The sequence below is a fragment of the Homo sapiens genome, chromosome 21, assembly GCF_000001405.40.
Source record: "Homo sapiens chromosome 21, GRCh38.p14 Primary Assembly".
NCBI lineage: Eukaryota > Metazoa > Chordata > Mammalia > Primates > Hominidae > Homo > Homo sapiens.
The window spans coordinates 25,433,374-25,446,452 of NC_000021.9; the positions used below are offsets into that span (position 1 = coordinate 25,433,374).

Genomic DNA, 13,079 nt, shown 5'->3' on the forward strand with positions numbered 1-13,079 from the left:
AAAGAGAAACACAAGCCCTTTAAGACTTCTTGGCATTTCTGATCTGACAGGTGGACACAGACAATAATCAAAGGATTATATGAATAAATCCCAATTATGGTAAATTCTCTGAAAGAGAATAGTGTCCTGAGAATGAGGGGTGGGAGGGAGAGGGGCAAGTAAACAGAACAGATTGTATGGCCAGAAAGCATATGATTGGACCAAGGAGAACACAAAAGACCTGTGTAGCTAAATGAGGAGAAGCTAGATGTGAAATGGGGCGTAGAAATTAGGGTCCAGAAATTAAAACTTTACCGTAGATTTTCTGGGACAATAATTTTTGAACTTTACTCAATAAAATGACAAACAATTCAATATTTTTAAAGAGTAATGATACGATGAGGCTTGAAATTCAAAATGCCAGCCTTGCTACAGTGCAGATAAGAAATTAGAAAAGGGTCGAAAGGATGCAGGAAGCTAATCTATTGATCCAGGTGAGGGACATGGCAACCTTGAATCATGTACTGGAAAAATGATGTCTTACTCTCTAGATTCCTCCTCTCTGAGCAGGGCGTCTCCGAAAGAAAGGCAGCAGCCCCAGTCAGTGGCTTACTGATAAAACTTCCATCTCCTTGGGACAGAGCACCTGGGGGAAGGGACAGCTATGGGGGCAGCCTCAGCAGACTTAAATGTTTCTGCCTGCCAGCTCCAAAGAGAGCAGCGGATCTCCCAGCACAGCACTCAAGCTCTGCTAAGGGACAGACTGCCTCCTCAAGTGGGTCCCTGACCCTCGTGCCTCCTGACTGGGAGACACCTCCCAGCAGGGGTCAACAGACATGTCATACAGCAGAGCTCTGGCTGGCATCCAGTGGGTGCCCCTCTGGGAGGAAGCTTCCAGAGGAAGGAACAGGCAGCAATCTAGGCTGTTCTGCAGCCTCTGCAGGAGATACCCAGGAAACAGGGTCTGGAATAGACCTCCAGCAAACTCCAGCAGACCTGCAGTAGAGGGGCCTGACTGTTAAAAGGAAAACTAACAAACAGAAAGGAAGAACATCAACATCAACAAAAAAGATGTCCAAACGAAACCCCATCCGAAGGTCACCAACATCAAAGAACAAAGGTAGATGAATAAATGAAGATGAAGAAAAACCAGGCCAAAAAGGCTGAAAATTCCAAAAACCAGAACACCTGTTTTCCTCCAAACGATCACAACTCTTCGCCAGCAAGAGAACAAAACTGGACGGAGAATGAGTTTGATGAATTGACAGAAGTAGGCTTCAGAAGGTAGGTAATAACAAACTCTACTGAGCTAAAGGAGCATGTTCTAACCCAATGCAAGGAAGCTAAGAACCTTGAAAAATGGTTACAGGAATTGCTAACTAGAATAACCAGTTTAGAGAAGAACATAAATGACCTGATGGAGCTGCAAAACACAGCACGAGAACTTCGTGAAGCATATACAAGTATCAATACCTGAATCAATCAAGCAGAAGAAAGGATATCAAAGATTGAAGATCAACTTAATGAAATAAAGCGTGAAGACAAGATTAGAGAAAAAAGAATGAAAAGGAAAGAACAAAGCCTCCAAGAAATATGGAACTATGTGAAAAGACCAAACCTGTGTTTGATTGGTGTACCTGAAAGTGACTGGGAGAATGGAACCAAGTTGGAAAACACTCTTCAGGATATGATCCAGGAGAACTTCCCCAACCTAGCGAGACAGGCTGACATTCAAATTCAGGAAATACAGAGAACACCACAAAGATAAGTCTTGAAAGAGCAACCCCCAAGACAAATAATCATCAGATTCACCAAGGTTGAAATGAAGGAAAAAATGTTAAGGGCAGCAAGAGAGAAAGGTCGGGTTACACACAAAAAGAAGCCCATCAGACTAACAGTGAATCTCTTGGCAGAAACCCTACAAGCCAGAAGAGAGTGGGGACCAATAGTCACCATTCTTAAAGAAAAGAATTTTCAACCCAGAATAGCAGATCCAGCCAAACTAAGCTTCATAAGTGAAGGAGAAATAAAATTCTTTACACACAAGCAAATGCTGAGAGATTTTGTCACCACCAGGCCTGCCTTACAATAGCTCCTGAAAAAAGCACTAAATATGGAAAAGAAAAACCACACCAGCCCCTGTAAAAACATACCAAATTGTAAAAACCATCGACACTATAAAGAAACTGCATCAACTAACGGGCAAAATAACCAGCTAGCATCATAATGATAGGATCAAATTCACACATAAAAATATTAACCTTAAATGCAAATGGGCAGAATGCTCCAATTAAAAGACACAGTCTGGCAAATCTGATACGGAGTCAAGCCCATCAGTGTGCTGTATTCAGGAGACCCATCTCAAGTGCAAAGACATACATAGGCTCAAAATAAAGGGAGGGAGGAATATTTACCAAGCAAATGGAAAGCAAAAAAACAAAACAAAACAAAACAAACAGGGTTTGCAATCCTAGTCTCTAATAAAATAGACTTTAAACCAACAAAGATCAAAAAAGACAAAGAAGGGCATTACATAATAGTAAAGGGATGAATGCAACAAGAAGAGCTATCTATCCTAAATATATAGACGCCCAATACAGGAGCACCCAGAGTCATAAAGCAAGTTCTTAGAGACCTATAAAGAGACCTAGACTCCCACACAATAATAGTGGAAGACTTTAACACTCCACTGTCAATATTAGACAGATCAATGAGACAGAAAATTAACAAGGATATCCAAGACTTGAACTCGGCTCTGGACCAAGTGGACCTAATAGACGTCTATAGAACTCTCCACCCCAAAGCAACAAAATATACATTCTTCTCAGCACTACATCGCACTTATTCTAAAAGTGACCACATAATTGGAAGTAAAACACTCTTCAGCTAATGCAAAAGAACAGAAATCATAACAAACAGTCTCTCAGACCACAGTGCAATCAAATTAGAACTCAGGATAAAGAAACTCACTCTAAACCTCACAACTACATGGAAACTAAACAATCTGCTCCTGAATGACTACTGGGTACATAACAAAATTAAGGCAGAAATAAATAAGTTCTTTGAAACCAATGAGAACAAAGATACAATGTACCAGAATCTCTGGAACACAGCTAAAGCAGTGTTTACAGGGAAATTTATAGCACTAAATGCCCACAGGAGAAAGTGGGAAAGATCTAAAATTGACACCCTAACATCACAATTAAAAGAACTAGAGAAGCAAGAGCAAACCAATTTAAAAGCTAGCAGAAGACAAGAAATAACTGAGATCAGAGCAGAACTGAAGGAGATAGAGACACGAAAAACCCTTCAAAAAATCAATGAATCCAGGAGCTAGTTTTTTGAAAACACTAACAAAATAGATAGACCTCTAGCCAGATTAATAAAGAAGAAAAGAGGAACAATCAAATAGACACAACAAAAAATGATAAAGGGAAGATCACCACTGATCCCAGAGAAATACAAACTAACATCAGAGAATACCATAAACACCTCTATGCAAATAAATTAGAAAATCTAGAAGAAATGGATAAATTCCTGGACATATACACCCTCCCAAGATGAAACCAGGAAGAAGTCAAATCCCTAATAGACCAATAACAAGTTCTGAAATTGAGGCAGTGATTAATAGCCTAACAACCAGAAAAAGGCCCAGGACCAGATGGATTCACAGCCAAATTCTACCAGAGGTACAAAGAGGAGCTGGTACCATTCCTTCTAAAACTATTCCAAACAACAGAAAAACAGAGAATCCTCCCTAACTCATTTTATGAGGCCAGCATCATCCTGATTCAAAAAACCTGGCAGAGACACAACAACAAAAGGAAAATTTCAGGCCAATATACCTGATGAACATCGATGCAAAAATCCTCAATAAAATACTACCAAACTGAATCCAGCAGCACACCAAAAAGCTTATCCACCATGATCAAGTGGGCTTCATCCCTGGGATGCAAGTCTGGTTCAACATCTGCAAATCAATAAACATAATCCATTACATAAACAGAACCAATGACAAAAACCACATGATAATCTCAACAGATGCAGAAAAGGCCTTCAATAAAATTCAATACCTCTTCATGATAAAACTCTCAGTAAACTAGGTATTGATGAAACATATCTCAAAATAATAAGAGTTATTTATGACAAACCCACAGACAATGTCATCCCGAATGGGCAAAAGCTGAAAGTGTTCCCTTTGAAAACCAGCACAAGACAAGGATGCCCTCTCACCACTCTTATTCAACTCAGTATTGGAAGTTCTGGCCAGGGCAATCAGGCAAGAAAATGAAATAAAGGGTATTCAAATAGGAAAAGAGGAAGTCAGATAGTCTCTGTTTGCAGATGACATGATTGTATGTTTAGAAAACCCTATCATCTCAGCCCCAAATCTCCTTAAGCTAACAAACAAGCAACTTCAGCAAAGTCTCAGAATACAAAATCAACGTGCAAAAATCACAAGCATTCCTATACACCAATAATAGACAGAGAGCCAAATCATGAGTGAACTCCTATTCACAATTGCTACAAAGAATAAAATACCTAGGAATACAACTTAAAAGGGATGTGAAGGACCTCTTCAAGGAGAACTACAAACCACTGCTCAAGGAAATAAGAGAGTACACAAACAAATGGAAGAACATTCCATGCTCATGGATAGGAAGAATCAATATTGTAAAAATGGGCATACTGCCCAAAGTAATTTATAGATTCAATGCTATCCCCATCAAACTACCATTGACTTTGCTCACAGAATTAGAAAAAAAAACTTTAAATATCATATGGAACCAAGAAAGAGCTGGTATAGCCAAGACAATCCTAAGCAAAATGAACAAAGCTGGAGGCATCATGCTACCTGACTTCAAATTATACTACGAGGCCACAGTAACCAAAACAACATGGTACTGTACCAAAACAGATATTTAGACCAACAAAACAGAACAGAGGCCTCAGAAATAACGCCACATGTCTACAACCATCTGATCTTTGAAAAACCTGACAAAAAGAAGCAATGGGGAAATGATTCCCTATTTAATAAATGCTGTTGGGAAAACTGGCTAGCCATATGCAGAAAAGTGAAACTGAACCCCTTACTTACAACTTATACAAAAATTAACTCAAGGTGGATTAAGGACTTAAACGTAAGGCCTAAAACCATAAAAACCCTAGAAGAAAATCTAGGCAATACCATTCAGGACAAAGGCACGGGCAAAGTCTTCATGACTAAAACACCAAAAGCAATGGCAACAAAAGCCAAAATTGACAAACGGTATCTAATTAAACTAAAGAGCTTCTGCACAGCAAAAGAAACTATCATCAGAGTGAACAGACAACTTGCAGAATGAGAGAGAATTTTTGCAATCTATCCATCTGACAAAAGGCTAATATCCAGAATCTACAAGGAACTTAGGCAAATTTGCGAGAAAAAAAAAAAACAACCCCATCAAAAAGTGGGCAAAGGATATGAACAAACACTTCTCAAAAGAAGACATTTATGTGGCCAACAAACATAAGAAAAAAACTCATCATCACTGGTCATTAGAGAAAGGCAAATCAAAACCACAATGAGATACTATCTCATGCCACTTAGAATGGTGATAATTAAAAAGTCAGGAAACAACAGATGCTGGAAAGGATGTGGAGAAATAGGAGCGCTTTCACACTGTTGGTGGGAATGTAAATTAGTTCAACCATTGTGGAAGACAGTGTGGCGATTCCTCAAGGATCTAGAACTAGAAATACCATTTCACCCAGCAATCCCATTACTAGGTATATATCCAAAGGATTATAAATCATTCTACTATAAAAACACCTGCACATGTATGTTTATTGCAGCACTGTTCACAATAGCAAAGTCTTGGAACCAAACCAAATGCCCATCAATGATGGACTGGATAAAGAAAATGTGGCACATATACACCATGGAACACTAAGCAGCCATAAAAAAGGATCAGTTCATATCCTTTGCAGGGACATGGATGAAGCTGGAAACCACCATTCTCAGGAAACTAACACAAGAACAGAAAACCAAACACCACATGTTCTCACTCATAAGTGGGAGTTGAACAATTAGAACACATGGACATAGGGAGGGGAACATTACACACCGGGGCCTGTCGGGGGTTGGGGGCCTAGGTGAGGGATAGCATTAGGAGAAATACCTAATGTCGATGATGGGTTGATAGGTGCAGCAAACCACCATGGCATGTGTATACCTAGGTAACAAACCTGCACATTCTGCACATGTATCCCAGAACTTAAAGTATAAAAAAAAGGCCTGGCGTGGTGGCTCACACCTGTAATCCCAGCACTTTGGGAGGCTGAGGCGGGTGGATCATGTGGTCAGGAGATTGAGACCATCCTGGCCAACATGGTGAAACCTTGTCTGTACTAAAAAAAAGAAAAAAGAAAAAAGAAAAATTAGCCAGGCTTGGTGGCATGCACCTGTAGTCCCAGCTACTCAGGAGGCTGAGGCAGGAGAATCGCTTGAACCCAGGAGGCAGAGGTTGCAGTGAGCTGAGATCATGCCACTGTACTCCAACCTGGGCAACAGAGGGAGACTCTGTCTCAAAAAAAAAAAAAATCCTCAATATATTACTCATCTTTTAACATCTTTTACTCTTCCTTTTTTAAAAAAAAATCTCTATCTCTCTATGTATGCTATAGAGAAAACATTTTTGTATTTCCTTCAAATTCCCTAATTCTCTTTTTAATTATGCCCAGTCAAGTTATTATCCTGTTGAATTTATTAGATCAACTATAAGAAAAAAAAACTAATGTATTGATGTGTTGGGTTGAATGTGGAGAATAAAGGGAAGGGATAAGAGCTAACTCAAAAGTTTCAGGCTTTGGAACTAGATACAAGTTTGAAACACTGAAAAAGAACAAGATGTGTGATAGGAGGCCTTGGAGATTGTGATATTTTGGGGGACATGTTGAAAATGGGATGTTTCTGAGACATACAAGTGGAAGAATCAACCAGGCACCTAATTATTCATGTCTGGAGCTCAGTAGGAAAGCCAGCACTACAAAGACAAATTGTGAATTCTATGATGTCTTTGTATTAACTCAGGCTGTACATGAAAGTGTAAAGAGATTTCCTAGCAGGGAGAGCATAGAGTGTGAAGAGGAGAGACAAAGATTGAGCTCGACCCAGGAAAGGACGGAATGTGCAAAGGAGTCAGAGACAGAGCATCTCAGGCAGTAAGAGCAAACCAAAAAACAATCATGATAAAAATTCATTATTTTAAAAAGGAGACTGTGGCTACAACCACCACTAACATTTCTTCCTCTGCTGTCTCCACATTGTAAAAGGAACATAAACTCAGATTGCCCCAGAGCCGTGGTGGGCAGTTCAGGAGTGCCAAGCTGGGCTCTACAGCCAGCACTCAAGTGGGAGAGGAGCCTACACTCAGAGTATTGAGAGGGGCATGGCTGCAACTGTGAGAAAATATAAGGAAGCCACATGACTGAGCAAGAGCCCACCAACTGATCAATACACCTAAGTACCACCTACTCGATCACACCTCAAGGCTTCAACACCAAAAATACCTCATTAACAGACTCCTTTGAGAAACCAAAGACAAAAAGTCAGCTACAAATAAAGACCCTGCACAAAGGCTCAGCTCCATGAAAACACACAGAAAAGAAGTTTATTGACTGTATCAATCTACACTACAGTTAAAGGAACACCCACATGCAGAGATGAGAAAGAACCAATGCAAGAATACTGGTAACCGGTAACTCAAATGGTCAGAGTGTCATATGTCCTCCAGATGATTGCACCTGTTCTCCAGCAAGGGTTCTTAACCCTGTTGAGCTGGCTGGAATGACAGTATTCAGAACATAAATAGAAATGAAGATCATCGAGATTCAGGAGAGTGGCAAAGCCCAATCCAAGGAAACTAAAAACCACAATAAAATGATACAGAAGATGAAAGATGAAATAGCCAGTATATATAAGAACCTGAGAGAGCTGACAGAGCTGAGAAACACACTAAAAGAATTTCACAACACAATTACAAGTATTAATAGCAGAACAGACCAAGCTAAAGAAAGAAAATTAGAACTTGAAGCCTGGTTCTCTGAAATAAGACAGTCAGACAAAAATAAAGAAAAAACAATGAAAAGGAATGCACAAAACCTCCAAGAAATATGGAATCGTGTAAAGAGGCCAAATATATGAATCACTGGCATCCCTAAAAGGGACGAGGGGAAAGCAAACAACTTAAAAAACATATTTTAGGATATCGTCTATGCAAACTACCTCACCTTGCTAGAGAGGCCAAAAGTCAAACTCAGGAAATACAGAGAACCCCTGCAAGATTCTCCCCAACACACATAATCATCAGAATTTTCCAAGGTTGAAATGAAAGGCAGAATGATAAAGACAGCTAGAGAGAAAGGGCAGGTCACCTGCAAAAAGAGAACACCATCAGGATAACAGCAAATCTCTCAGCTGTAACCCTACAAGCAAGAAGAGATTGGGAGCCTATATTCAACATTTTTAAGGAAGAAATCTTCAACCAAGAATTTCACATCAAGCCAAACTAAGCTCCCTAAGCAAAGGAGAAGTAAGATCCTTTTCAGATAAGCAAATGATAAGAGAGTTTATTACCACCAGACCTGCCTTACAAGAGATCTTGAAAGCACTAAATATAGAAAGAAAAGACCACTACCGGCCAATACAAAAACACTTAAATACACAGACCAGTAACACTATAAAGCACAATACAAACAAACCAGCATAGTGACCAGCTAACAACACAATGAAAAGATCAAAACCACACATGTCAATACTAACCCTGAATATAAACAGGCTAAATGGCTCCATTTAAACGGTACAGAATGGCAAGCTGGATAAAAAGGCAAAACTCAATGGTATGCTGCAAGAGACCAATCTCACACATAATGACACCCATAGGCTCAAAATAAAAATAAAAAAATGGAGGCAAATCTACCAAGCAAGTGGAAATCAGAAAAAATCAGGGGTTGAAATCCTAATCTTAGACAAAACAGACTTTAAATCAATAAGGCTTTTAAAAAAAAGACAAAGAAGGGCATTACATAATGTAAAGAGTTCAATTCAACAAGAGTTCAATTCAACAATTTAACTATCCTAAATACATGTGCACCCAACATAGGGGCATCCAGATTAATAAAGCAAGTTCTTAGAGTCATACAAAGAGACTTAGACTCCCACACAATAATAGAGACTTCAACATTCCACTGAAAGTATTAGACAAATCATTGAGGCAGAAAATTAACAAAGATATTCATGACCTGAACTCAACATTGGACCAAATGGATCTGCTAGACCTGTACAGAACTTTCCACCCAAAAACAACAGAATATACATTCTTCTCATCGCCACATGGCACACACGCTAAAATTGACCACATAATTGGACATAAAACAATCCTCAGCAAATGCAAAAAAAATTATACCAAACACACTCTTGGACCACAGTGCAATAAATATAGAAGTCAAGACTAAAAAAAAAATTGCCCCAAACCATGTAATTACATGGAAATTAAACAACATGTTCCTGAATGACTTTTGGGTACATAATGAAATTAAGTCAGATGTCAAGAAATTATTTGAAACTAATGAGAACAAAGCTACAACATACCGGAATATCTGGGATACAGCTAAGGCAGTGTAAAGAGGGAAGTTTATAGCACTAAACACCCATGAAAAAAAGTTAGAAAGATTTCAAATTAACAAGCTAACATCACAGATGAAAGAATTAGAGAAGCAAGAGCAAATCAATCCCAAAGTTAGCAGAAGACAAGAAATAACAAAAATCAGACCTAAACTGAAGGAAATTGAAACCAAAAAACCCTTAAAAGATCAATGAATCCAGGAACTGGAATTTTGAAAAAATTACTAACATAGAGCACTAGCTAGACTAATAAAGAAAAAAAGAGAATAAATCCAAATAAACACAATTAGAAATGATGGAAAGGATACACCACTGGCCCCACAGAAATAAAGATAACCATCAGAAACTACTGCAAACACCTCTACACACACACACTAGAAAACCTAGAAGATATGGATAAATCCCTGGAAACATATGCTTTCCCAAGGCTGAGCCAGAAAGAAATCGATTCCCTGCACAAACCAATAATGAGCTCTGAAACTGAATGAATAATAAATAGCCTACCAAGAAAAATAAAAAGGACAAGATGGATTCACAGTAGAATTCTACCAGATGTACAGAGAGAGCTGGTACCATTCCTACTGAAACTATCACCAAAAATTGAGGAAAGGGGACTCCTCCCCAACTCATTCCATGAGGCTAGCATTATCCTGATACCAAAACCTGGCAGAGACACAACGAAAAAAGAAAACTTCAGGCCAATATCCTTGATGAACATTGATGCAAAACCAACATCCTTGATGAACACTGATGCAAAAATCCTCAACAAAATACTTGTAAACAAAACGCAGCAGCACATCAAAAAGCTAGTCTACCACAGTCAAGTAAACTTCATCCTTGGGATGCAAAGTTGGTTCAATGTACACAAACCAATAAATCTAATTCATCACATAAACAGAACTAAAGGAAACAAACATGATTATCTCCATAGATGCAGTAAAAGTTTTTGATAAAATTCAACATCTCTTCGTGTTAAAAACTCTCAATTCACTAAATATTGAAGGAATATACCTCAAAATAATAAGAGCCACCTACAACAAACCCACAAACGACAGCATACTGAACAGGGAAAAGCTGAAATCATTCCCCTGGAAAACTGGCACAACACAAGAACGCCCTCCCTCACCACTCCTGTTCAACATATTATTGGAAGGTCTGGCCAGAACAATCAGGCAAGAGAAAGAAATAAAGCATATTTAAATAGGAAGAGAAGAATTAAAAGTATCCGTTTTTGCAAATGACATGTTTTTATATCTAGAAAACCCCATAGTCTCAGCCTAAAATCTCCTTCAAATGATAAACAACTTCAGCAATGTTGCAGGATACAAAATCAATGTACAAAAATCACTAGCATTTCTATACACCAACAACAGCCTAGCTGAGAGCCAAATCAGGAATTGAATCCCATTCACAATTACCACAAAAAGAATAAAATATCTAGGAATACAGCAAACCATGGAGGTGAAAGATCTCTACAATGGGAATTCCAAAGTGCTGCTCAAAGAAATCAGTGATGACACACACAAAAAATATGAAAACATCCCATGGTCATGGACAGGAAGAATCAATATCATTAAAATGGCCATACTGCCCAAAGCAATTTACAGATTCAACGCCATTCCTGTCAAACTACCAGTGACATTCTTCACAGAACTAAGAAAAAAAAACTATTTTAAAATTTATATGGAACCAAAAGAGGGCCCAAATGGCCAAGGCAATCCTAAATGAAAAGAACAAAACTGGAGGCATCATGTTACCCAACTCCAAACTATACTATGTGGCTACAATAACCAAAACAGTATGGTACTGGTACAAAAACAGACACATAGACCAATGGAACAGAATAGAGAGCCCAGAAACAAGCCCACACACCTATGACTGTCTTTGACAAAGCTGACAAAAACAAGCAATGGGGAAAGGACTCCCTATTAAATAAATGGTGCTGGGATAACAGGCTAGTCATAAGCAGAAGATTGAAACTGGACTCCTTTTTTACATCATATACAAAAATCAACTCAAGATAAATTAAAGATTTAAATGTAGAACCCAAAAACTATAAAAACCCTAGACAACTTAGGCAATACCATCCTGGACACAGGAATGGGCAAAGATTTTATGACAAAGACAGTAAAAGCAATCATAACAAAAGCAAAAATTAACAAATGGGATCTAATTAAACTTAAGAGCTTCTGTACAGCAAAAGAAACTATCAACAGAGTAAACAGACAACCTACAGAATGGGAGAAAATATTTGCAAACTATGCATCTGGCAAAGGTCTAATATCCAACATCTGTAAGGAACTTAAACAAATTTACGGAAAAAAGCAAACAATCCCATTGAAAAGTGGACAAAAGACATAAACAGGTATTTTTCTAGAAAAGACATACATGCAGCCAAAAAGCATATTTTAAAAAGCTCAGTATTGCTGATCATTAGAGAAATGCAAATTAAAACCACAATGAGATATTGTCTCACACCAGTCAGAATGGTTATTATAAAAAAGTCGAAAACTTACAGATGCTGGCAAGGATGTGAAGAAAAAGGAACACTTATACACTATTGGTGGTAACGTAAATTAGCGCAACCATTGTGGAAAGCAATACGGTGGTTTCTCAAAGAGCTAAAAGCAGAACCACTGTTGGACACAGCAATTCCATTACTGGGTATATACCCAGAGGAATATAAATCATTCTACCATAAAGACACACGCATGTAAATGTTCATTGCAGCACTATTCACAATAGCAAAGATATGGAATCAACCTAAATGCCCAACAATGACAGATTGGATCAAGAAGATGTAGTACACATACACCATGGAATACTATGCAGCTATAAAAGAGAATGAGATAATGTCTCTTGCAGAACATAGATGGAGCTGGAGGATATTATCCTAGGCAAACTAATGCAGGAACAGAAAACCAAATACCACATGCTCTCACTTATAAGTGGGAGCTAAATGAGGAGAACTCATGAACATAAAGGGAACAACAGACATTAGGGCCTATTTCAGGGTAGAGGGTGGGAAGAAGGAGAGGAGGAGAAAAAAATAGCTATTGGGTACTAGGCCTAGCACCTAGGTGATAAAATTATCTGTACAACAAACCCCCATGACACGAGAGCTTACCTATAAAACAAACCTGCACATGTACCCTCGAATCTAAATTAAAAGTTTAAATAGTAGAAAATCACAAAATTTAAAAAAAGAAAATAGCCATACTTACCATGCTTATGGATTTGCTGGTGTTCATACTTCTTAAGGGTAGAATATTTTAAACAATTGGGAGAGGAATGGGACCAGGTAGGAGCTTCCCTTTGGCATAGCTTCCATTCCATAGAAAAAGAAGAATCAAACAAGAAGGACAAAACACCCAATGAAGCGATCCATTGATGTGCTTTGTGTAAACGCAATTGAAAGCTTAGAATCCAAATATTT

At 38.4% G+C, this 13,079-nt stretch overlaps 1 pseudogene, besides 1 other annotated feature; it reads right to left on the bottom strand.

Annotated features, from left to right (window-relative positions):
• Nucleotides 2,233-2,397: a silencer, noted in NCBI's record as "fragment chr21:26807918-26808082 (GRCh37/hg19 assembly coordinates)". NCBI's record gives its function as "represses an EF-1alpha promoter that drives an FKBP-Casp9 reporter gene in an ReSE screen in phorbol 12-myristate 13-acetate-treated (for megakaryocytic differentiation) K562 erythroleukemia cells {active_cell/tissue: K562(+PMA)}" and the evidence as "EXISTENCE:reporter gene assay evidence [ECO:0000049][PMID:32094911]".
• On the bottom strand, nucleotides 12,862-13,008 carry CYP2C63P (cytochrome P450 family 2 subfamily C member 63, pseudogene; annotated as a pseudogene).